At 42.4% G+C, this 26,915-nt stretch overlaps 1 protein-coding gene across 84 annotated transcripts in view, besides 3 other annotated features; it reads right to left on the bottom strand.

Annotated features, from left to right (window-relative positions):
* PPP6R3 (protein phosphatase 6 regulatory subunit 3) overlaps positions 1-26,915 on the bottom strand; it is a 154,583-nt gene that overhangs the window by 59,160 nt on the left and 68,508 nt on the right. For 71 of the 84 annotated variants that reach the window (NR_147971.2, NR_147966.2, NR_147967.2 and 68 more), the window contains 5 exons: positions 18,284-18,516; positions 11,151-11,337; positions 7,971-8,108; positions 4,989-5,054; positions 1,918-2,030 (listed from right to left, as the gene is read on the bottom strand). Coding sequence is in view for 77 of the 84 variants with exons in the window: in NM_001352362.2 (NP_001339291.1) it covers positions 1,918-2,030; positions 4,989-5,054; positions 7,971-8,108; positions 11,151-11,337; positions 18,284-18,510 (731 nt within the window). In the remaining 7 variants the exon portion in view is untranslated. Of the gene's footprint in view, positions 1-1,917; positions 2,031-4,988; positions 5,186-7,970; positions 8,109-11,150; positions 11,338-18,283; positions 18,517-26,915 lie in introns of all 84 variants that reach the window. The other 13 variants (NR_147970.2, NR_147965.2, NM_001352378.2 and 10 more) reach the window with 4 other exon arrangements.
* Positions 11,924-12,424: an enhancer, noted in NCBI's record as "H3K27ac hESC enhancer chr11:68311219-68311719 (GRCh37/hg19 assembly coordinates)". NCBI's record gives its function as "activates a minimal SCP1, AML or CMV promoter by ChIP-STARR-seq in naive H9 embryonic stem cells {active_cell/tissue: H9 hESC(naive)}" and the evidence as "EXISTENCE:reporter gene assay evidence [ECO:0000049][PMID:30033119]".
* Positions 12,425-12,925: an enhancer, noted in NCBI's record as "H3K27ac hESC enhancer chr11:68310718-68311218 (GRCh37/hg19 assembly coordinates)". NCBI's record gives its function as "activates a minimal SCP1, AML or CMV promoter by ChIP-STARR-seq in naive H9 embryonic stem cells {active_cell/tissue: H9 hESC(naive)}" and the evidence as "EXISTENCE:reporter gene assay evidence [ECO:0000049][PMID:30033119]".
* Positions 15,186-15,891: an enhancer, noted in NCBI's record as "OCT4-NANOG-H3K4me1 hESC enhancer chr11:68307752-68308457 (GRCh37/hg19 assembly coordinates)". NCBI's record gives its function as "activates a minimal SCP1, AML or CMV promoter by ChIP-STARR-seq in naive and primed H9 embryonic stem cells {active_cell/tissue: H9 hESC(naive and primed)}" and the evidence as "EXISTENCE:reporter gene assay evidence [ECO:0000049][PMID:30033119]".

The raw sequence follows: 26,915 nt of genomic DNA, 5'->3' as shown, positions 1-26,915 counted from the left end.
TGGGTTACCTGGCATCATAATATAGAGCTCGGCAAGCTATGTGTACATTATGTATTGCCAGTACAGTGATTTAATATGTAATATCATCATTATTAAATAACTATGATTTATCAAATAGATATTACATATTATCACATAATATATCAAATATATACAGATGCTATTATGATTAATAAGTTTACTAAAATGGAAGTCTTTTCTCACTGTGTATTGTCTGAATCAACAGACACTAAAAAGATGTGCAGTGTGTCAAATATTAGAAGTGGTTGGTTCTTATTCTCAAACAGACTGTGGGAAGCACTATGACAGATTTTCTTTCCACTGTTAAATGCAATGGAGGTTTTACTTGGCAACAGGGCCATTGATTCATCAGGTCCATGTATTTGAACACATTTACTCCAACTAATTTAATGATGTAAATTCTAGGCATTTACCTATCTTCATCCAGAAATTAGCTACCTGATCTAGGACTAAAACACAGCTTGAAATATAAAAGCTAGTGCGCACATGGGCTCTGGTGGCTAGGTTACACATTGGGTCCAAATAAAGCTGTGTGGACGGAAGGCTTGGAGTGGCACGAAGAACTTAGCAATGACTACTAAGCAGTCTGATATTCAGGCAGAACCTGCACTGTCTACTATGGGAGCCATTCACTACATGTGGCTATCAAGCACCCAAAATTTAACTCGTCTGACCGGCATGTTCTAAGTGTAAAATACACATTGGATTTCCAAGACTTTGGGCAAAAACATTTTAAATTACATGTGGCTTTGATTCTATTTCCACTGGGCAGCACTGTAGTGAGCCATATGAAACTGCTGATATTCAACATTTCTAACCTACTGAAATGGCAATTTTACAAGGTTCAACCTAATTAATATCACAATTAGTATTTGAATGTGGGGTGTCTTATATGTTTTAAAGGACTATATATGCCATAGTGCAAGAATTACTAAAATGGGACAGGTAAGATGCCATTTTACTCAGAAGCCGGCAATCTTTTGTAGTTTTGCTACTTCAGAGAACTCAACCCCTTCGTATTCTACATGCTAGGAAAACACAATTCCACTTCGCAAAGACAGGGTTGAAGACACATTAACTTGTCTGTAATGTATTCCCTGCCTGTCTTACATATGTCCAGGAAATAATACATTTTATTTTAATAAAACGGCATTATAGGTAGTTAAGCCAAAGATGCAAAACAGCCTCAATATACAGCAGGAATAAAAAGGATTGACAAAAGCATTAAAAACAACAATAGAAGTAAACCGAAGCAAGATTGCCATTAGTACTTAACAATGCTAGCTGTATGCATACTTCCCAATTATTCTCCCATAGTGAGGAGTGGCCTGATTATTCTCTATTAAAATAACGTTCAGCTGTTTGAATGCAGGTCAAATATACATGCCCATGTTGACAGTAAACATTCTTTTTAAAAACATGTGAATCTAGAAAAAACAGCACCCCATCCCCAAGCTGTCTTCAACCTAAACATGAGATAACTGTCCCTAATCGGCTGCAAAGATACAATGAATCCTTAAACATCATCTGACAAAAGCTGCTGAATAAAATGCACAACATTCGTACTTACACAAGACTATTCTTCATCAAAAGACCCTTGGAAGCTGTGACTACAGTTATTTCTAAATGACTACCACATCTTAGGATGGCTCTACAGAATTCCATTTTACAAATAATTGGAAAACTCAAAGTCTAGATATAAATGTCATTTATCTTCTTACCCTGCCAAACTTCTACTGAGATAAAAGAAGCAGGTTTCCCTACCTTCTCACCCACCCAAGGTTATTTTCAAGGCACATGATTCCCACATAAGGAACACTTACCAATCACTCACAATGGTAACACATGGAACAGCATCAATATGAAAGAAGAACAAGAACAGAGTTTTACACATACTTTTCTAGAGTGGCAAGCAGGGGGTCGGGCTCTGTACTGTTCTGAATTTGTAACATCTGGTCTCTGCTCAGGCGAACAATTTCACAAAGTGATTGTGATGCATTTGAATGTCGCTAAAGGAAAAAAGTACAATTTTAACCATAAAACATGTTAGAAGTTAAATTTATAATTTAAAAATGAAAGGGAAAGTTATTTAAGAAATAACAAATTAACACTGGCCATAAGCTTCAGTGCGCAAAAGGTCAAGGCCAAGAGAGATCACATCACAAGTATTGTATTTTGTCAGGTGAATGAGCTTTATAATAGTGCACAGTACATTACTGCTATGTGCAGGGAGATGTCGTCAAGGTTCTGATGAGGAAAAATTTCTAAAATAGTTGGGAAAAAATACAGATTGAGCATCCCAAATCGAAAATGCTCCAAAATTTAAAACATGACACTCAAAGGAAATACTCACTGGAACATTTCAGATTTCTAGGTCCAGGATGCCCAACCAGTATAATGCAAATACAGGTATTCCAAAATCTGAAAAAAACTGAAATCCAAAATACCTCTGGTTCCAAGCATTTCAGATAAGGGATACTCAACGTGTATCCCCAAAATACACTCTTATCAGCATAGAAGGATGCACATACTTTTTTTGAATTAAAAAAAAGTGAAAGTACAGCTGGGTGCAGTGGCTCACACCTGTAATCCCAGCACTTTGGGAGACTGAGGCAGGCAGATCACCTGAGGTCAGGAGTTCGAGCCCAGTGTGACCAACATGGAGAAACCCCATCTCTACTAAAAACACAAAATTAGCCAGGCGTGGTGGCGCATGCCTGTAATCCCAGCTACTCGGGAGGCTGAGGCAGGAGAATCGCTTGAACCTGGGAGGCAGAGGTGGCGGTGAGCCGAGATGGCACCATTGCACTCCAGCCTGGGCAACAAAAGCGAAACTCCGTCTCAAAAAAAAAAAAAAAAAGTAAAAGCAAATACAGTTTTCTGGAAAATGCCAATGGATAAGAAATATTAAGCCTTCTCTCAGTGTATTGACCTTACAGAAAAGCTCTAAAATCTCAGCACCCAAACACATTTTATTCTCTGGATTAAGAAACTGAGCATAACTCAAAGACTGAGCAATGTGCTCCCAATACAGGCAGAACACTCATATTCTAGAAGAGAGGAGAGCACAGATTAGGATATCCAAACCCACTGACTGGAATCAGGAGCCTAGCATTTCCTTGGTAACTATCAACTGGCCAGTATAATTTTAACATGGAATTCATCACTTAATACAAAACAGAAGTGTCAACAGGACTGTCCAAAAACCAAAATTAACTTTCTTCTAAGTCATGCAGAGAAGGTACTCATGTCCACAATGCAGTGTCCTTCTCAAAAAACTTGTTGCAGAATTGGACTTCTCCATTATCAATTTCTCCTGGGCCCTTCAGACAGCCCCTACTGAGCAATCCTCTTCCTAGCCCATTGAGCAATCAAGTTCCTCTGCTCAAGAACATGAACCTAGCAAGGAGTAAGCCTCATTCATGGAAACTCCTCCCTGTCAACGGGGCAGGCCACACTCCTGTCATGGCTCTCCACGGCCTGCACAGGCCACACTGTCATCACAGGGAAACCTGCTCCTAGAACCACACTCCCCTGCCCACAGGAGGAGGGCTTATCACCCCAGCTAGGTTGAGAGCACCTTCTAAGCAGGGGCTCCCACATTCCCAATCCATGTCTGCACTGGATGTGTCCACAATGTCAACTCTGCTAACAGTAACAACTACTGCAAAGGAGCATACCTTGCATTCTCCCAAAGAGGGATAATGGGGAAGTGACAGTCCCTTTAATAAAGTCCAGGTATGAAAAGTTTCTGAATGGATCAGAGTGAAAGGGTTTCGCTCTACTATCACAGAAAATGTATTTCTGTGAGAGAGAGGAGCCTCCATTGCATGTCTCTTCCTGCACAGCTCCTCTGCTGTGCTCGCTCTCCCATCTAACCTGCAACCTAGAGACACACAAGGAGATTCTCCCAGCTTCAGGACAAACTTTGAATTGCCCTTAAACCAACTCCTTTGTAGATATTAGGCTGAACCATAGAGAACTATCATGTCTGTAGGTAAAAATGGATGACTACTGCCAATTTTATACGGCTTGGCCAAGATACTTAAGGTGGTAACCTTATAGATCTCTTCTAGAGACACACACACCCACTGGTCCCAACAGGCATTCCCTCAGCACAGAGTTCAATCTGCAAACTCCAAATCTAGCTTCAATCCTGTAACCAAGTCAACCTTTAGCACCTAGGACTAAGGCCAAACCTGTCAGAGCTTAACAGCCACGGCTAGGAAGTATAACAAAGTTACTGTAGGGGCTCAATGGTGACCAACATCCCACTTCACTGCCTGCAAAGCTGTAAACAGACTGGATAAAACAAATGCAAATGTGGCCACATCAACTGCTACAGATGGGTATAAAAATAAAAAGGAGGCCGGGCACAGTGGCTCACGGCTGTAATCCCAGCACTTTGGGAGGCCGAGGCTGGTGGATCACAAGGTCAGGAGTTCAAGACCAGCCTGTCCAAGATGGTGAAACCCCGGTCTCTACTAACAATACAAAAATTAGCCAGGGTGGTGGCGGGCACCTGTAATCCCAGCTACTCGGGAAGCTGAGGCAGAGAACTGCTTGAACCTGGGAGGTGGAGGTTGCAGTGAGCTAAGATCGCGCCACTGCATTCCAGCCTAGGCGACAGAGGGAGACTCCGTCTCAAAGGGGAAAAAAAAAGTAAAAAGGAGCATAAACAAAGGAGGTTTGTACAAAAACCAGCTGGTTCAGCATGAAATACCGGCTCTAGAAAGGAGATGGTGCTATAACAAGGGCCTGCTGTTGTACACTTCTGGAAATTTTCTGAGTATTGGCAAAATGTAATATTGTTTAGAAAAGTATCAACTTTAAGAACACTAGATCGCTGCTATTCTCCCTGTATGCTCTGATCATGTTCACATTTAATATAAGTATGCTCTGTGCCCAATAAACAGTTTTTTGTTTTTTTTTTCTAATCAAGTTTACAGTCACACAAGTGAACTTACATCTTCTTCTTGCGATGGATGAACTATTTCCACAAGCCTCTGGATAATTTTCTCCTCATTTAACCACTGTAAAACACATTGTAGAAGTAATCATAGCAATGAGTGGCTCTTGTTCAAGCCCCAATGTAGATTAACATACTTGGAAATATCCATCACATTTTAAGTAGAATGTTACAGGTTTCTCTGGACTTTGAACACTACAGAAAATTAAAAGTCCCCCAAGGAAAATGCCAGTGAATATATTGTTTTAACAATGGCCAACAGTACCAACAACTCCCCAAATTACAATACCCACACACTAAAATTCTATATATCAGCTTCTTAGCCATGAGGTCACCTCCAGACATTTAGGACTAAAAGGGTTTGTAGGTTAGTTCTTAAGAAGAGAGGGCTGGGAGATTAAGAAGGATGGAATTTATACATTTTCTGTAAGAGCACGTTCATTCCAAGCTTCAGAAAGATTGAGAAGAGCAATATTTAGCACCAAGTCTCTGGGTTAAGAAAAACACAGGATGAACAAATGGGACTTTTAGATTACAAAACCAAACCCACTGCAGGAAACGTGGGGGCTGGAGGAAGCACAGAGGCAGAGTTTTTCCGCCCTGTCATGTGCTGGCAAAGAGCTATGGCCATCTCCTTTTAATCCATGTATGAAATGCTACAGTGAATGAAAACATAAAAGGAATCCGAATTCAGAAAAAATAAAGGAAAAATCATCTGGCTTAACATTAATGCCATAAGAAGCCCAAAACACCATCATCAACAAGGCAGCTCACTACCTAGAAAGGACACCACCCCTCCTCTGCTCATAAAAAGCCCGGAAAGCTAAAGGAGACTAGGGCGGGCAGCGGGGGCAGAAATCAAACACAATTTGCTTAAGGAACAGAGAAGAAACCCTGACACTCTCTGGCTGCTCAACGAAAACACCAAACAAAGGAAAATGTGAAGCTATTAGGTAGGCACCACAGAGGTAGAGGCCCAACTTCATATTTTAATATCTGTTTTAAAATGTGCACACAAATTCTCCGAGAATCTTGTTCAAATGTATATTCTGATTCAGTAGGCCAAGGAAGAGACCTGAGATTACAGATCTCTAACAAGCTCACAAGTGATGTCTAGGACCATTCTTTGAGTAATAATGTCCCGAAACAGAGGAGAGTAAACATCTATGTGAGGGGCGGGGCATTCCTGACCACTACAGGAGAAACCAGGAAACTTTCCAGGCGGCGAACTAATCAATCCCAGACTCCTGCTGTCTCCACAGCTATTCACAGGCACCTACATTCCAAGCCCACTTCTGTAGTCATCTCCGACTGTGGATCCACAAAATCAAAAGACATTTAGGGGTTTCTAACTAACCTTTCCCCAACCTACACCTTTATCAACCTCCTATCGCTCTCTCTCTCCAGAAACACACTGATTCCTTTGGAAACCAGACAGGTCCTAAACTTGAACCCAGAAGCAACCAAAGGAATAAACTGGTTCCAGTAAACCATCCTGAATAAATCTCTCCCTATGATAATTCCAATATAAAGGTGATAACCCCCTCCCTGTCCTCAGTCTTCCCCAGAATCCTCAACCTCTTTTGGGAAAAGATACATCTACAAAGACACACCCAAAAGGAAACAGGTGTCCCAATTTAAGGTCCCTGCCAACAGACAAGTCCCAGGACACCCACTAGATACACCCAGCTGTTTACTCACAGTGATCACAGTGCCTGGGTCACCAACAAATCCAGCCCTGACACCATCACATAAATGCACACCTGGCACACCTCCCTACCTCACTGGAACATGCCCTGCCCTGGGCACCACCTGAAAGACCTTCCTCCTCATAGGCCCTCCTAGTCCTTGAGGTCTTAAATAACAATTAGCATTCTCAACAAAACTCATTTCCAAAGAAATGAGTAAGTTCTAAGGTTGCAGGTTAGTATTAAAGACGGATAGACTGAAGCATGGTTCTGCAAAGCTTCTGAGAAAGGGAAGAAAGGGAGGGGGACCGGGAGCAGTGGCTCACGCCTGTAATCCCAGCACTTTGGGAGGCCCAGGCGGGCGGATCACCTGAGGTCAGGAGTTCGAGACCAGCCTGGCCAACATGGTGAAACCCTGTCTCTACTAAAAACACAAAAATTAGCCAGGTGTGGTGGCGGACACCTATAATCCCAGCTACTCAGGAGACTGAGACAAGAGAGTTGCTTGAACCTGGGAGGCAGAGGTTGCAGTGAGCCGAGATCACGCCACTGCACTCCAGCCTGGGCGACAGAGTGAGACTCCCAACTCAAAAAAGAAAGGAAGAGGGAAAGACACAAAAGACAAGAAGAGAAGGCAGAGATGGGAGCCTGGGAGAAACCTTATTTTCAAGTTACTCACACCCTCCCCTCTTCCCACCCAAATTCTACCTGAGACATCTATTCAAGAGGCACACATCCTAAAAATCACCATCTGTCTACATTTTAAAATATGTCCTTCTCAAAGTAAACTCTGTTCTCCTTATCCTTTGCTCCTCTGTACCCATGAGAAGAGAATTACTTCTGAAGCCTGAATCCCTGGATACATCAACACCTCTCCGTTTTGACCTTCAGAGGTGGCCCTGAAGAGCGTGGCCTCATAACATACTCAAATGGGACTTAGAGCTCCCAACCCTCTCATTTCTGCTTTTACCATCAGAACCAGCTTCAAGACAAATGCTCAACCCATAAAGTCTCACCACCCCCATAAAAAGCAAACCAGCAAAAGGAAAAAATACTCACAACAAAACATCCTACATACCTAGGGATGTGCCCATCTGAAATTCTAGTTCTGCAAAATCTGGATCTCTTCCTATCTTGGAACAACCTTTCTTCCCCACCCTGTTACCGGCTCCCCAGACAACCCTCTGCTACCAACCCTAATCCCATGCATTCCTTCCCAGCACACAGCAGCCTGGTGGGCTCACATGCCAGCACCCTAACCCCAGTCAACAGCAGGTCAGAATTCTACTCACATTCAGCACATCTTGCCTGGGCTGTGGAGGTTCGATACACGTCAGGAGCCTGAGCAACAAATCCATGATAGCAGAAGTTCCTATGTGCTTTATAATAAGGTCTACAAAATCATGCTTCTTCTTTAAGAAATCCACAATCTAGAGAAGAACAGATCAGAAACTGAAAGACATGTAACTTGGAAACTATAAACTTTACCTTTTAAGTCCCAACCCCGACTCCTCCAAATTCTACCACTACTTTAGGTTGAGAAATGGCAAATGCTGAATTAGCAACAAGGTATCAAATTGGAAAGCCTGGCTAATAGTTACAATACTCAAAATACCCCTTGGAAAAAAATCCCCTAAATTAGCACGTCCATTAATACAAATACAACTTAACAGAATCTTTTATTTCTATTCACTTTCATTATTCATTCTCAAAGAATGGTGATCAAAAATTTAATATGCCTATAAAGAGCAAGAGAATATACCATTTTACAGTTTATGAACATAAAGCATGTCTGTTAGATTTTGCACTAAAATAAGTAATATTCAAAATCCTAACTGGACTCTAACAAGCATGAGAAAAAAATTTCAAAACAAAGATTTCTACTCTAGTCAAAATAACTAACTCACCTGGCTACACAAACATCGCCTTTGATTTTGACTTCACCAATTTACTCCAATAGCTTAGCACAAGAAGGGCAGCTGGTGGAGAGGCAGAGAGCTACCCTGAAGGAACGTGAGAATGGCCACGGAAATCAGGCCCCTGCTGCTGGTCTCTTCTGCTCTGGGAGACCAGGGAGATGACTCTGTCCCATGCATCCCTGTGTCCCATACAGCCTTGTTGCCTCTGCCTCTGTCCATGCGCACGTGTCATCTATTCCCAAACCCTCTGCGAGTCCCAGGGGGAGTGTCGCAGCTGCTATATAACAGGATCTCACTGAAATTTCTCAAAAGCTCTGGGGCGTGGGGGGTTGGATAACTCACCCCCACCGCCACACCCCATTAGAGATGAGGAAACCAAGGCTCAGAAACTATCTTCCAGAGCTAAAAGGTGGCTGCCTGGGATTTAAAATTGGATATGTATGCCACAAAAGCCACAATCTTTCCATTATGCCACATGAAGTCTAATAGCCAGAAATGACAACTAAAACTGCTTCATACAATTAGGTATAAATACAGGATTAACCAACACACATTGCTTCTCTAGACAATGAGGTCAAGCATTATGATATAAAACTTCAAGAAATGATATGACACATAAATAATTCACTCACAATTGGATCCCACAAGTTTTTAAAAGGACAGTAGAGGAGAAAGGACGAAAAAAGTCACATGTGTCCCAAGTATTCCGTAATTCAGTGCCAGAAACACCAAACCTGGAGCCCAAAGGAATAAATCCCAGCTAGTGTGGTGGACAGTACAGCACTGTCAACAGGGACCTGTGGCACAGATGACCCCGCTGGGGTGCTGACTCATGCAGCACTGAAGATGCCCCACCATCCGACTTCCTGTTCCATGAGCTAACAAATGCCTTTATTGGTTAAGCCAGTTGAGTCTCAATTTTTGTCCTTACAGTTGCATACACCCCTACTAATACTATCACATAACAGAAAACCTTTATTTACACTCCTAATTGGCAAAGGATAAAGAAATGCCAAGTTTGATCTTAACTCACAGCCACTGAATCCTCTTGCTATCATTCATACAGTCCTGACAGGGAAGTGTAACAAGCAAAAGGCCGAAGGGCTCTTGTCTCAGAACATAACTGGCAAGGTTTTAAGTGTATTCTCTCTCTTTATGTGTACACTGAAAATCGGGGCTCGCCAACTTGGATTCCAACAGCACAGAAGTGAGGAGAAAAAGCACAATGAAGCATAATGTCTGGATAATGGCTACAACAACCATCCCTGAGAACTGCCTGGTAATATCAGGGTGATAGGATGGCTTCCACTCTCCTAAAACAGCCAGCAGTTCTTGTATTTCTAACTAGAAGGCAGAAAAAAAGAGACAATCTACATTAATCATGATTTGGGGATTATTACCAAAGTGAAAAGAATCTCATTTCCAATCAACTTAGAAAGCTTATCCTACTCCATTAAGTGAAAGAAAGAAATATCTCTTTCTAAAATAAAGCATGTATCCACTTTGCCTTGGCATAGGACAGGACACACTGGGCCCAAAATAGCTCCAGTCCTTCCACAAGTGCTGATAGCAACAATGGGTCACCCAGAGCCATTTTCTATCATGAAGGATGGCAGGACCAACTGGTTTGACCACTTTTGCCCCGTATCATCACACCTATACTTGCAATTCTGGCAAATCTGCTATAGTTTATACTTGAATATCTGAGGCTCTAGTTGTTCCCTGAGTGCCTATTTCCATAAAATGACTAAAATCTCCAGATAAGCAGATCCTTTTTCACAACAATATCCACTAAAGCGGTGGTTCTCAAATGTTAGCATGCATCAGAGTTAGCTGGAAGGCTTGCTAAAACCCAGACTGCTGGGCCCATCTCTCAGAGTTTCTGATTCAGCAGGTCTGGAATAGGACTCAAGAACTTACATTTCTAACAAATTCTCAGGTAATACTGAGGGGCTGCTGGTTCAGGGACCACACTTAGAGAACCAAGTGAAGTTTCTGTCAAACCACACTGGATAGGAACAGCACAGCTGCAAATGTACACAGCAGTCTATACACTCAGATGTCTCAAGCCTGACACTGGAGAAGTTTTGAGTAGAATCAAAACAGAATCACCATTAGTACAAACCAATCACCAATTACATTTGTGGGAAAGGTTTTTGGTTTAAGCTTCATCTCTGATCATCAATGGGGGAAAAACAAAACAAAGCAATTGTTTGGTGACATATTCAACTGCTTAGTTATTATACTTGCCATCTTAGTTAAGCCCTGTCTTCACAAATGGGTACCCAATATTCTCATCTTCTACCCACTTCTCAAAAGAGGAAACTAAAGTATGCTAACAAATTAAGTGAAATTTGAGATTATGCCATATTAGAAATATTCATTAACATACAAATAGTATGTGAGTGCTTAGAATGTTTAAGGTTTAAAATACATTCTCTTATACAACCTGAACTTAAGGCAAAGTTAGAACTCTTAAAGCAACAAGTACTGGGGGATCACCTCAAGGGGATGATCAGCCCTAATACTTACCTTTTGGAAAATCATATTTACCTGTTCTGGTTTTCTGCTGATAAGAATACTTAGCACCTTGCTGAAGAAACTGGCAAGTAGTGGATTCAAAGGGGAATCGTTTAGGAGGAAGCTATATAATTTCATTAGCAAGGATTCATCTTCTCCCAGTCTATCATTCATCTGGGAGACATCAGAAGTGAGCAACTCACAAGATATATTTGGATACCTAGAAGAACAGGATATTTACATCATCATCTTTATTAACAGTTTAATTACATAAAGATAAACACAAATCAGAAAGGCTTCCCAAGATTTTGTGAAAAAAATAAAATCGTTTACTGGAAATCAGGAAATCATTTCAATCCATTCTGTTCAACCTACCTCCAGACTAAAATAAATTTTCTACTATCTAAAAAATTGTTTTTAAACCAAGCTTTAACAAGAATACATTTTCCCTGAAGAAACTAGAGCGCACCTAGTACTCAGAAGCCCAGAGAGGTCATGCTGCAGGGCCCGGGCCTTCTCCACGATCAGCGAGGAAAGCGGCTGGACGTACGAGCCATCAGGCTACAGCCTCCTCTGGCATGGGAAGCAGCAAAGCTTGCGGACAACTGTGGAGGACACTGGTTTCCAGGAAACTGCACTGCATGCAGCACCTTGTAATGACTTAAGGCACTCTGTAGGGACCTGGACCAGCCTTTATCTTTAGATGGGTTGTAAATGGTACTAAGTCTATATTACATCTTAAGAGAGTAAGCATCCTACTATAATGAAGGGGGGAACAGGACATCAGCCTGGGCTACCAAGGCAGGAAGCAGTATACAAAAAAAATGTTGTCCTAGCTATTTAGGAGGCTGAGATTAGAGGATCACTTGAGCCCACAAGTTTGAGGCTACAAAGAGCTATGACTGTTGCACTCCAGCCTGGGCAAGAGTGAGACCTTGTGTCAAAACCAAAACAAAACAAAACTAGTGCTCTCCACATCAGCCTTCCAGTATCTGGATATCAGCACAGACACAAAGTCAGCCCACCATGAGTCTTCACCATGCTGTCTCTCCTGTAGAAGGCCCACGGCTAAGAACATGACACCTGCTCTATATGGACCCACACAGGCTCTTCTACAGACCCCATGGCTTTAGAAATGCTTGCCTCTGACAACCAGACCACTGACCCTCTGCAAACAGGCAGCAGGTCCATTTCCTCCACTTACTCCTACTATGACAATCTCGTGTCTGTTTTCACTAGCAACAACAGAGACGTTGAGCCTATCCAGACGATACTCTAGCTGACCCAGAATTACTCTGCTCTTACACTCCTCCCTGCTGGACAGCCAGGACCCAGCGCCCCAACAAGTCATCAGGAGTGGCAAGCTCAAAAGCTGAGCAAGACAGAGAGATGGCAAAATAGCCAAACGTGGCTGCATGACAAAAGAAACCAGGGAAGACTGGGGCAGGAGGGACACGTATACGACACACCTGGGGCATCCAAGGCAAGCAAGTGCTGCCTGCAGCAAGACCCTGGCACAAAAAGACCACTGGTGACGAACCAGAAAGCCACGGCACTTGACAGGCTCTGGTGTGAGGCCTAAAGACAGAAGAGTATGAGAAGGTCCCAAAATGAGTCTTTGTATAAAGAAAACAGAAAAGGAAAAAAAAAAAAACAGACCTGGCAGATGTATGGGTCTTTGGGAAGTAAAGTCTCCTCCCTCAATTTACGTAGCATGGGCTTCAAGATGCCAGAATATAAACCCCTGTAAAGTACCCATTATCCCAGGAGTGGGCTGATGCAGCGGTTACAGGTGCAGCTACTAGAGTCACACTAGCTAAGTTCAAAACCGGCCTCTACCACTTACATGCTGTATAACCTTGGACAAGTTACTTAACCTCTCTGGGCCTCAGTTTCCAAGTTAGTAAGATTAAGACAATAGTCCTTATCTTATGGAGGAGGGGAGTAAAAAAGGCTGGGAAGAGGGCCTGGCATAAAGTAAATAAGTGTTTAATAAATGACAGCTGTTTTCATTCCTCTTTATTTTCACTATAAAATGGCAGAATGCTGCTAGAGTGGGTTGGGGAGATGCACTCACTCAACTGTCTTAATGTGGAAACTGCTGACAAACAGAAGATCAGTAAAAGGCAAGCGGACTCCTGGCTGTGAATCAAATGCATGAGTGTTTTCTCCAAACTCTGACAGAGAAAGTCCAGATGAGCAACTTTAAAATTTGTTCACTTTTTCTAGGTGACTGGGTGGTATGACCTAACTCAAGAAGCATGCATAATGTTAGCCATTACACAAAAAGCTCAGAGTTCTGGTTCCAGACAGGCTGGGGCTACTCTCCTTCCCTCCCTCCTTAACATTCAAGAAGCTTCTCAAGGCCGAGCGCGGTGGCGCACACCAATAGTCCCAGCACTTTGGGAGGCCAAGATGGATGGATCACCAGAGGTCAGGAGTTCATGACCAGCCTGGCCAATGTGGCAAAACCCCATCTCTACTAAAAACACAAAAATTAGCCAGGTGTGGTGGCACACACCTGTAGTCTCAGCTATTCAGGAGGCTGAGGCACAGGAATCACTTGAACCTGGGAGGCAGAGGTTGCAGCCAGCTGTGACTGCGCCACTGCACTCCAGCCTGGATGACAGAGCAAGACTCTGTCTTAAAAAAAAAAAAAAAAAAAAAACAGCAGCTTCTCAAGCACCCAAAGATGCCTCCACTCCACCCTCGGCAAGACCCCTCCTCCTCCATAGGCTCTGACCTCGCTTCCTTTGCCTGAGAACACAGAGAAGGCAATCAGAAGGGAACCCAGCCCTATCACATCCCCACCTACAGCTGGGCACTTCCTCCTCGCTCCAGGGGAGTGGCCCTTGCTCCTGAGGTCATCTCCTGCATGTATGCTCTGGACCACATGCCCCCACCCCCGCCCACTCCAGCACAATGCATCACTCGGCGGCCTGCTCCCTCACACTGGCTGTGTTTCCTCTGTGCTGCAACGTTCTCACAGGTCATCACTTCCATTTAGGAAAAAACAAAACCCCACACCACCCCTGACTCCAAATCTGCCTCGACCTACCACTTCCTCTCTGCTCCTGTTACAAGAAATCACTTCAAAGAGTTGTCTCTGCTTGCCTCCAGGCTTTCACCTGGGCCCCTCCAAAGAACCTGTACTGATGGGGCCCATGATCTCCATGTTACAAACTGAGTGGTTTCTTATGAGCAGTACCGCTAACCCACTGTCCCCCCTCCTTCCTGAAGCCAGACTTCCCTTGGTTTCCAGGGTAGCAGCCCCCAGGTTCTCCTCTTGCATCCAATCACTCCTCCATCCCTCAGTGGAACCCAGGCCAGCCCACACTACCCATCTCCAGTTTCAGAAGCTTTCTTCTAGCTCCATCAGCTCTGCAGGCGATCTCATTCAGCCTTGTGGCTTTACATGTCCTCTGTCCACCTACCACTAGGCCTCATCTCCACCTCATGTCTAACAGGCATTTCAAATGTGACAGGGCCAGACCCAAACTCCTGCCCTTTCCCTCTGCAATCTTATTTCACTGCCATAAAGCCACTCCATCCTCTTAACTGCCCAGGCCAAAATCCTCATAGTCACTCTTGACACTTTATCTCCCATTCCATACCTAGAGGAAACCCCTTCAGTTCTAACTTCATCTAGTGCCTCTGGAAATCTGACCGCTTCTCAACAATCAGGTCCACTAAGATCTTGTTTTTCTCTGCTGATCACTGCAGCCAACTGTACTTCCACTTCTGTCCTCCTACAGTCCCTAACCACAGAGCAGGCAGAGCACTCCTAAGGAACAAAGTCAGACTATGGCACAGGTTGCAGGAAGTCAGGGACCCCAAACAGAGGGACCAGCTGAAGCCATGGCAGAAGAACGTAGATTGTGAAGATTTCATAGACATTTATTAGTTCCCCAAATTAATACTTTTGTGATTTCTTATGTCTGTCTTTACTGCAATCTCTAAATATAAATTGTAAAGATTTCATGGACACTTATCACCTCCCCAAATCAATACCCTTGTGCTTTCCTATGCCTGTCTTTACTTTAATCTCTTAATCCTGTCAGTTGAGGAGGATGTATGTCACTTCAGGACCATGTGATAATTGCCTTAACTGCACAAATTGTACAGCATGTGTGTTTGAGCAATATGAAATCTGAGCATCTTAAAAAAAGAACAGGATAGCAGCGATGTTCAGGGAACAAGACAGATAACCTTAAACTCTGACCGCAGGTGAGCCAGGCGGAACAGAGCCATATTTCTCTTCTTTCAAAAGCAAATGGGAGAAATATCGCTCAATTCTTTTTCTCAGCATGGAACATCCCTGAGAAAGAGAATGCGCACCTGGGGGTAGGTCTCTAAACTGGCCCCCCTGGGTGTGGTCATCTCTTATGGTCAGTGCAGAGGTGAGACAGACTCCAGTCTCCCATAATGCTCCCAGGCTTATTAGGAAGAGGAACTTCCCGCCTAACAAATTTTGGTCAGACGGGTTGATCTCAAAACCCTGTCTCCTGATAAGATGTTATCAATGACAATGGTGCCCAAAACTTCATTAGCAATTTTAATTTTGCCCCGGTCCTGTGATCTCGCCCTGCCTCCACTTGCCTTGTGATATTCTATTACCCTGTTAAGTACTTGATGTCTGTCACCCACACCTATTTGCACACTCCCTCCCCTTTTGAAAACTTCTAATAAAAACTTGCTGGTTTTTGTGGCTTGTGGGGCATCACGGAACCTACTGACATGTGATGTCTCCCCCGGACGCCCAGCTTTTAAAATCTCTCTTCTGAACTCTGTCCCTTTATTTCTCAAGCCGACTGACGCTTAGGGAAAACAGAAAAGAACCTATGTGAATATCGGGGCAGATTCCCCAACATGCACACATTTGCTCAAAACCCTCTGGTGGCTTCCCATCTCATCCCAAGTATAGCAAGCATCCTGGCTGAGCCTACCAGGCCTTGCATGGCCTGTCTCCAGAGGTGCTCCACCTTCACTCCAACCCTCCCTCCTTCCATTTTCCCTCATTCACAATGCTGCCCCTTCTCTGGCTGCCCAGATGTTCTTGGGGCACACCAAGCACATGAGCACATTAGTGCTTCCACACTTGCTGTTCCCCCTGCCTGGATGTTCCTGGTTGTAAGTGCCCACCTGGCAACCCCCTTAATTCCTGCATGGCTCTGACCAGATGGCACCATCTTAATTAGGCCTTTCCTGAGCTCCTCTGCCCACCCCACCACCTTCAGCAGTCCCTGTCTCGTCATGCTTCATTTTTCTCCAGAGGTCTTATCTGAAAAATTATTGGGGGACTTTTTAGTCTGGTTTACCCCAATACAGCAATTACTCCATCATCCCAAAACTACACAATCCCAGTCTAAACTTCCTTAAATGACTGTAGTCAACCATAACCCTAAAGCACTTTCAGATCCCAGCTGAAAAACCCCTCTATGCTAATCTAGCTGTGGCATCATCCAAGATATGTTACACACAGGTGGTGACTCTGCTCAGGGCAGAAGCATGGCAGAGTACTGCCCTATCCAACTCAAGTGGTGCTCCTTCAAAATGGTACCATGCAGAAGGCTGTGTCCAGAGGAGGTGCATTTGCTCTTGCAACCTCAAAGGCAAAAACACTGACGAAGCAATATAATACAAGTGCCACACTGTTATAACGGCGGGGGGTGCGCAGTACTTTTGTGGAAAGTAAGCCCTTCATAGAAGGCATGCCTACTCTTCAATGATTAAAACATTACTAGCCTCATTCAGCATATGAGGAAACAGACCCAAGAAGGGTAAGCTCCCTGCCCAAGCTCTCAGAGATTGGAAGAGAAGAGGGTCATACTCTTCTGAGGAGGCTGATCCAAAATCTGTGCTCTCTGATGCATACCACACTCCTCCATCAGGGATAAGCCCCAATTCAAGTAGCACCACCCACATGCTAGTTCACTGTGAAGGGAATTCCAAGTAGCAAAGTGTCTATCATTTGGGGGATGACAGCACACTAGTAGGTCTGTCACGGCCTCCCGGGCTCAAGTGATTCTCCTGCCTCAGCCTCCCGAGTAGCTGGGATTACAGGTGCCTGCCACCAGGCACAGCTAATTTTTGTATTTTTAGTAGACTCGGGGTTTCACCATGTTGGCCAGGTTGGTCTCGAACTACTGACCTCAGGTGATCCACCTGCCTCAGCTTCCCACAGTGCTGGGATTACAGGCATGAGCCACCGCGCCCAGCCTTTCCTCCTCTTTTATTAAGACACTAATCTCTGAGTGAAGGCTTTCACTAAATGCAAAGTGTCAATGTTAATGGTTGGCAGAGAACATGACATCTCTGAAGACCTAAGCCACTAGCAACTTGAAAGCATTAACAAGTATTATTTCCCTAACAGCACATTTCTCCCCAAGACGAAAGGAAAAGATGTCTGAAAAGAAAGGTAAACTGAGGGACAAATGGCAAGAGAGACACTACTAAAAGCCTAATTCTTCCTGTTCCATTAAGTTTATGTAATGCATCAATTTTTGTTTCTGAAGTTGCTCTATTTTCTGGGGGGAAAAGAGCCAAATATTTCAATAGAGTTGGATATGGAGAAATAATTAACTGAAACCCCAATACTTTACATACCTATGGAGAGTTTCCAGGGGTTTGTAGAAAAAGTGTTACAGTGATGGTAATAAAGGATTCTTACTGTACTGTCGTTCTCTTTGTAAGCAGATTAAACTAGCAGACAAAATCCACTGTAGTTACCCATGGTACCCATTCCTTTACTTTCAGTGAATGAAAGGTCAGAATGTATTGTATAAGCAATGCTCTTCACAACCCCAAGCTCTGACTTAGATCTGCTGTGCGATTCTGCATAGTCACATCATGTCCATCTTCCTATTTGCAAAGTAAATATTTTAATCATCTTACTATTTTGAGATATTTATCATCATTGTTTACAAAGCACGCTGCCTTTCCAGAAAACCTTTGAATGAAATTCAGAACGCTCATTTTTAAACTCTTGTGATTCCCTGGACTTACTGCTAGAATGGATTTTGCGCTCCACCGAGCCTGTCATTCTTGACTATCTTACCCTTCTGTAAATGGCAACAGTCACACTGGAGAATCCTTGAACAAGAGCTGTATATTCTACCCCCACTTCACTTTAGTCCCACTCTACAGAGAAGATTGAATTGTCTTACTTGTATCTGATCTTTTCATCCATGTCTTGAGGTGGTTCTTCTATAATGAATGAGACTAAATCTTCGAGACATTCTGCTTTTAACAGAAACTCTATAAGTTTGCGGTTCTGAGCTTTACATTCCTGTAAAACATCTTCCTCATCCATTAACTCCTTCAGTGTTACATCTTCTCTTTCTAGAAGTGTGTCTATGTGGGATGATGAGTGAAGATCAAATTTCCAAAACATGCTGGTCTAAACAAAATGCAGAAAGTATTTCATAAAATTTCAACTTTACAAATTAATTTTCCATAATTCATATTTCAGTTCAGTTTTACAATCTAAAATGCCAACTTGGCTCACATAAGTTAAATAAGCTTCACACTGAACCTATAAAATACTTTTTAATGCGTTACTGGCAGGATTTTTTCCTTCTCAGAAAAGAAAATATTTTAATAGATAAAAAATTTTGACTTGAAAATGCTCAAAGCTAAAACTTGGGATGATTTTAACCTGCAAAAGTAATTCATCCATACTATTAAGAAGTGATGCTGGGAAAGGAGAAAAGTCACCCTTTTCTTAAGGGTGAAAAACAGAATATCTTCAGCAACAAGTGATAAGCAGTGAGGCCTAAATATCTAGAAGGCTTCAGAAGACTAAAGAACTAAATGATCACTGCAAACCAGTACTTTCATAGTCAAAAGCCTGAAGCAATAAACTGGTAAAATCTGTGCCATTCTTAATATACTACTAAAAACTGAAAACTAATTCTTGAGGAGTTAGAGAAACTGATTCTCCTCTGTTTACTAGGAAAACATGACAATGAAACCTAATCACTACGCCACATACATATTCATTCCTCAGCTTCATGCCCATCCTTCCTCAACAAGGAAAACAGAGTTTGTTACTTCAAATTATAGAGCTAAAAAAAGTACTTATTTGTTACAAATGGAAATATAAAACAGAGGGTTCACTACATGATCTACAGGCTGCCATTCATGATGGGATGATCTCAAATGCCACTTTTGAGACACATGACAGGATGATAGCATCACAGGAAAAGACCTCAGTAGAGACCATTCAAAGACCTTTCCTATCTGTCTAAATGCTCACTGCAGAATTCCTAAACCAGAGTTTGTTAATACATACTGACTCTCTGTAACCCCCAAACGAAAACCTACATATAAGCTGGAGCTTCACTACCCACTTAGTGAGGTGTACCATTATCATTATCTCCAAAAAAGCATGAATATCCACATGCTATTTAAAAGAGCCTAGGTAAAAGGAAGGAGGCTGCAAAGGATGGTAATCCATGTATAGCACACATTTTTAGAAGTATGTATTTGGGCCGGGCACACAGTGGCTCACACCTGTAATCCTGGCACTTTGGCAGGCACAAGGCGGGAGCATCACTTGAGGTCAGGAGTTCAAGAACGGCCTACACAACATAGTGAGACCTCATCTCTATAAGACAAAAAAAAATTCAAAAAATTAGCCAGGCATTGTGGCACACTCCTGTAGTACCAGCTACTAAGGAGGCTGAGGCTGTTGTAAGCCATGATTGTTCTCCTACACTCCAGCAGGGCAACAGGGTGAGGACCCTGTTTCCACAAAAAAACAAAAAACAAAGAAAAAAACAAAACAAAAAAAACCCACCCACTTTAGGAGATCAGACAGGAATACATCCTGATTTTATGCTTTTATGAACATCTGCCTCAAAAAAAAAATGTTTTTTAAATAGAGATCATAGAGAGCAAAATCATTTACACTGCTAGTATAAACACTGATCAATCCAGGAATAACAGAAGGAAAACAAACTCTGTACCATGGTTACTCAAGGCTCTGTAAAAAGTAGATCCACTTCACAGGATAGGCAATGAGATCACTGAACATTTTATATGAGCATATAATTTAAAATATAGGCAGAGTTTTTTGTTTGTTTTTTGCGAGACAGAGTCTTGCTCTGTCACCCAGGCTGGAGTGCAGTGGCATGATCTCAGCTCACTGCAACCTCTGCCTCCCAGGTTCAAGTAATCCCTACCTCAGCCTCCCAAGTAGCTAGGATTACACCATGCCATCACACCCGGCTGATTTTTTTTTTTTTTTTTTTTTTTAGTAGAGACGGGGTTTCACAATGTTGGCCAAGCTGGTCTAAACTCCTAACCTCAAGTGATCCACCTGCCTCAGCCTCCCCAAGTGCTGGCATTACAGGCATGAGTTACCGTGCCCGGCCAAGCAGAGTTTTAAAGAAGCTTCCAAAAGCTCCTTAAGGAGCAAGTTTTAAATAGGAATATTATAAAATGTGAAGGGTGTTATAAAAGTCTTCCTTGTTTCTAAAAAAAACTTTAAATGCTTTAAAGGACACATGGCGACAAGCTCACATCAATTAGCAGCAACAGGACCAAGACATATTTAAGGATGGCAGCCACTGTGATGATCCACCTGGACACAACATCTTACAAGAGGAGTCGATGTGGAGGACTGATGTTCAGCACAAAGCTCTGTGGGATGACACAAAGCGGGGGCCCACAGTCGCAGGCAGGGCTGTCTTGTTCCTCTATTCGATTAGTCTAATAATTATGTCCAGATGACATCACAGACCATGCTAGAGAAGCACAACTCCTCGCACTGACAGCAGCCACTATGCTGCTAGGCTAACAGGACTTCTCTGCTCCAGACGAGGGGTGGGTAGGGGCATCCGCAGAAGCCACCCAGTGGGCAATGTAACACATTTGCCGTGAAGGAAACAAGAGCAAGCTAATTCTAATACAAATATTAAAGAAATAAGGGCAAAGATGAAATACAAGTAACAGGAAAATAACTTTGGGGAAAAGGTCAGTGGATATAAATCTTAGAAATAAATGCTTTTTGTGATTTTCAGATGAGTGGGAAATGGCAAACAAAGTAACTTTATTATGCCATTTGATACTAATACAACTAACAAGTAGAAAAAAAGACAAAAGTATACCAAAAGATAACTTCAATGGAAGAGGGAAAAAGTTGGGTTTCCATTCATTCCCCAGAGGAAGAGAAGTGGTTCGCTGTCTGAGGGCACAGAATAACAATGCCAGTGCCACCCACCATGCTTCTGGTGGAATAATACAGCTCATGCACCTCTACGTTCTTAAAAATCACAAAACCTTTTTTTAAAATATATTTTTACTACTCTTCCCCACACTTAGTATTAAAGGCAAAGTATGAAAAATACTAAGAAATAAATCAGAAAAAAAGTGAATCTGGCATCAAGCACTTATTTTTAGCTAATAATAAACAGGGTATACGTTCACCAATCAGGTGAGAAGCTATGCCTAAAACCTAGATAAAATGACACTTCTGAATTATGAATCAAGATACAACTTTTTTGCCTCAAGTAAAAACTGACTTCCCAAATCTCAACCTTATTATAAAGGAAACTCATTAAACACTGGATTTCTAAAGAAGAGTGGTAATTAGTTGTGATGAAATAAGAAGGTGTTGGCAAACCAAATCCAGCTCACAGCCTGCCAGTTATGAATGATTTTGACATTTTTTAAGGGTTGTTTTAAGAAAAAAAAGGAATATATGACAGAGGCCATCTGCGGCCCACAAAGCCTAAAATATTTACTACTTGGTCTTTTGCAGAAAAGTGTAGTGTCCTTTGTTCCACAGGAAATAAAAGTCCCATTAACACCCACTTTGCTTTCTGCAGTCTCCTGAATCCACCCAACGTCTACCCCACAGCCCTTGCGCCCTGCCCAGTGAGGTGCTGACAGTCACCCGTCTCTACTCTCCCCTTCCTGGGGCACTCACCGTGTAGGTGTGGCCACATGACAGAGTTTCCTCCATTGTGCCAGGAACCATCAAACCTCCCATGGTCCTTCACCTGTATCTAGCTAAATGCTGAGGACCAAAAGAACCTGAGGGATGGCAGAACCAAAACATGGAACGTGCCGTGGTCCCCAAATCACTATATGGAAGAAAGCCACCTACTGCTGTAAGTTCCTGCCCATGCTGTTCCAGTGAGCCAGAAGCAACATTCCTGTAGCAGAGCCCGTGTGCTCCAGCAGCGTGGCCTAACTGATGAATGAGGTCCTCCAATTCCCCAGCCATCACTTTGTGGGTTTACTACGCTGATTTTAAACTTGAGATTTAAACACAAGAAAAGGAATTCTTTAGCAATTATCTGTTGTAAAGTGATTAATTCCTTTTTTTTTTTTTTTTTTTTTTTTTGAGACAAGGTCTTGCTCTGTCACCCAGGCTGGTGTGCAGTGGCATGACCCTGGCTCACTACAACCTCTGCCTCCAGGACTCAGGTGATCCTCCCACCTCAGCCTCCAGAGTAGCTGAGACTACAGACCCGTGCCACCACACCTGGCTAATTTTTTTGTACTTCTGTAGAGACAGGTTCTCACTATGTTGCTCAGGATGGTCTCAAACTCAAGCAATCGACCACCTCTGCCTCTCAAAGTGCTGGGATTACAGGTTTGAGCCACCACACTCAGCCAGCTAATTCCTTTTGCTCCCCACTATTCGGAGTTAGAATAGCATTTTTCAAATAAGAACACCTTGAAATACATTTTAATGGTGAGTTTTCTTTGTATTGGACATACTACAAACTCAAAACCAAAATATATCCACAGCTAATTCCTTACACAAAAATTATGTATTTTACCTTTTAGCCAAACAGCAAGCTGACTGGAAACAAATGGCACTGGTAAATTAGTCACCCCTGCTGGGCCTTCGCTTCTATGTGTACTCTTTCAAGTAGAAAGAAACCAGGTATGAAATAACAGTTACAAAGTTCAACTGGCCAGAGCCCTGAGGTAAAATGGAGTCCTTTAAAAAATATAACTACTCTAAACTACACAGAAAAACCAAAAAGTCAGAACTTCAACAACTTGTTTTTAGTAAACATAACTATCCTTTAAAATTCACAACCCAGACTACACAGTCACACAACAAATAATGACAGGGATACAGACTGAGAAATCCTTCGTCAGGTGACTTCGTCGTTGTGCAAACATCATAGAGTGACTTACACAAACCTATACAGTCTAGCCTACTACACACCTAGGCTATCTGGTATAGCCTATTGCTGCTAGGCTACAAACCTGCACAGCATGTTACTGTGTACTGAAATACAGACGCAGTAGTGACAATGCTAAGTACTTGTGTATCTGAACAGACACTACCATGTTAAGATGTTGTTTAGCTGAAGTAGCAAAATCACCTTAAAGAATCCCCCCAAACTAATCATTCATATCAGTCATTAGGTAACAGGAATTTTCATTCGTATCAGTCATTAGGTGACGGGAATTTTTCAGCCCCATTATAATCTTATGGGAGCACTGTAATATATGCAGCATATGACTGTTCTTAAAATTAGGGATAATTTCTTCCAACAAACCAGTCAGTGGAGCAAAGGGTTTAGTAAAGCCAAACTACCCTCTAATCTTTCTTCAAAATCCTAGAGTTTTTTGTAAGTTGGATTAAGTAGTTTGAAAATGGAGTTTCCTCCAAAAGGGCTAAGATTAAGAAAGCAGGTCACTGGGGAGTCATTTGTTACTTGATGTCACAGATGACAATGTCTGCTGTTCCCCACCTTCCTGTAACGTAAGACAAGTGAAAACTGCCATCTTATATACACAAAATAGGATCAAAGGATCCATTTGTTGAGTAAATCTATTCATCGAAGATCAACTGCTTTACTTAATGACCCTCTAAAATTATTTTAAAACCTTCATGATATCAAAGCCTTTCAAAATCTGAGGCCAAGTACCTTGAATTCAAGGCATTCAAGCAGTGACACTCTCTGGAAAAAGGTGCCACCCTGTCTCTGACACAGGAACTAGGAACTGGTAAAGTGGCTAAATTATTTATAAGAGGTAGAACAAGAACATCAGTCTATCTGTAAAATTTGCCAAGGCACTGCTAGTCGAATGCTAGCATATTCAATAGGGGTCCAACTATAATTTATGTGAACCACCTACAACCCTTTGTTTTCATCAAATATACAAATCCTCTCAACCTCTTCTAGGACTACTAAGAATCTTACAGACCTGGATTCTAACACCAGCTCCACTATTGGCTAGCCCTGAGGCCTCAGGAAAGCTACTTCATCTCTAAGCCTCAGGATCCTTAGCAAAACAGGTTGTAGAGAGTCAATAAGAAAGATCCGCAATAGCAGCTAGAACATACAGGCACCAACATACACACACTCAGGCAAACAGAAGCTGCTAAGGCAATGAATATATCCAACAATGAAATCAGTGAGCTTTAAAGCTTCCCAAACTTTCAAAGGCACAGGAATGAATAGTCTAGGGCCTTGTCAAAATGCAGTCTTGGCTGGGCATGGTGGCTCACGTCTGTAATCCCAGCATTTTGGAAGGCCAAAATGGGCAGATCGCTTGAGCCCAGGAGTTTGAGACCAGCCTGGGCAACAGGTGGCACACACCTGTAGTCCCAGCTACTCGGGAGGCTGAGGTGGGAGAATCACCTGAGCCTGGGAGGTTGAGGCTGTAGTGAGCTATGATCATACCACTGCAAACCGGCCTGAACAAGAGTGAGACCCTGTCCTAAAATTTAAATAAATAAATAAATAAATAAATAAATAAATAAATAAATAAAACACAGTCTCAGATTCTGACTCAATAAACAGGGCTCAGGCCTGAGATTCTGCATCTCTAGTTCCCAGATGCTGCTGATGCCTGATTTTAAACCACTGCTGACAGCTTGTAATTCATAAATGGAGGATCATTTTAATCTACATCTTCACAAATTTAAATACATATATTCAAAATAACTATACAGCCATGAAAAACATAGGAAAAGCATACTAGTGCAAACAGTACTGTGTTATTTCAGAAACTACCTCTGAAAAAGTTGATATCAGTGGGTTTTCATTCAACAAGACAGAGGCAGAACATACCATACCATAAACATGACAAAAGATAAACTATTAGAACCCTGAAGAAAGAAACTACTGGTGATCCTACCCACAAACAAGCAGTCAACTGTGGGGATGACAAGATCGTCAATGAATTTCAAATTCAAAATCTCCTATTCATATGAACTCACTATGCTTAAATTTGGCAACTTTATATCTAAGTACAATAAACTGTATACTATCAACTGCGAAATAACTGTACCCAGGACTAGCTGGGCCCAGAGCAAAATGTTCAGAGATTTCAAAGAAGATTCAAAGATTATGATGGCTTTCAAGACAGAACCCAAACAGGAGAGCATTAATCCAAGTGTTTCTGAGCATGCGAGACTGCACAGGTCACACACCCATCAAACCAGCTCTGTCTATACCTTTTAATAACTGGCCCCATTGGAATCCTCAAGATAGCAACACCGAAGTGAATATCTGATATCATATGCCAGACTGGCAATAAACACACATAAGATATTTCTAGTAGAAGTTGCCGCTACCTAAACATACGGAGCACAAACAGAACAAAATAGGAGAAGCAGCTGCTTCCACCCAAGAAAACACACAAGAAAGACTTAAGACAACAAAATGTGTTATTGACTTTTAATACTATATATTTAACAGAACACTACAAAGAAAATATTTGACACACAAATTTCACACAATCTTATACAAAGACATGCAAGCACACGCTGCCCAAGTTCTAATTCCTATACACCCCAAGTCTCCCTTCAGCACTCCCTTCTCTCACCACTATTAAAACTACTAGAACTACACAAGCTCTATCTGTCATCCAAGTCAGACCCGTCTAACAGAAATAAGAAATAAACTTTTGAGCCACACATTAAATGTTCTAGTAGCCACATCAAAAAAGTAAAAAACAACTAATGACATTAAATTTAAAAGTATCTAACAGAATATATCCAACAGGGCTATATTATTTCTTTTGGTACTAAGTCTTCCAAATCTGATGTGTATTTTATGCTCACAGTACCTCTCAATTTCAACCAGCTACATTTCAGATGTTCAAGAGTTACACATGGCCAGTGGTTGCTGTACTAGACAGCCCCACTCTAATGACATTATGATTCAGTCTCTCTCCGCACTGAAATGGCCCCCATCTCCTTCCACAGCTACAATCACTAACGATGTTTTCCACACAAGGGCCAATGTGGGGTAGGTAAGAAGAGGTTATAGGCCATGTTTTTCCTCTTTTTTAAAATAGAAATATACAGGAGATATCATGTATATTCTTGAAATGTAACAACTTGGGCAGATATTCTTCAACTCAAAAAAGTAGATCACAAGAAAACGAGAACTGTTTTGTAGCCTCTAATACCTAGAAACATTTATAGCAATAACAAGAAAGTTTTCAAATCCTTCATCTTGAAATAATGCAAAGAGCTAGATCTTGCATCAAGAGGCACAGGTGGGTCATCACTGGTTTAGACTTAAGGAGCCAAATTTAAAAACAGATGCATGCCGGCTGGGCGCGGTGGCTCACACCTGTAATCCCAGCACTTTGGGCAGCTGAGGTGGGTGGATCATGAGGTCAGGAGTTCAAGACCAGCCTGGCCAAGATGGTGAAACTCCATCTCTACTAAAAATACAAAAATTAGCCGGGCACAATGGCAGTCGCCTGTAATCCCAGCTACTTGGGAGGTTGAGGCAGGAGAATCACTTGAACCCGGTTGGCAGAGGTTGCAGTGAGCCGAGATTGTGCCACTGCACTCCAGCCTGG

Source organism: Homo sapiens, chromosome 11 (genome assembly GCF_000001405.40).
Source record: "Homo sapiens chromosome 11, GRCh38.p14 Primary Assembly".
NCBI classification, from domain to species: Eukaryota; Metazoa; Chordata; class Mammalia; order Primates; family Hominidae; genus Homo; species Homo sapiens.
Note: the sequence above shows the minus strand (reverse complement) of the source record. Positions and strands in the feature narration are given on the sequence as shown.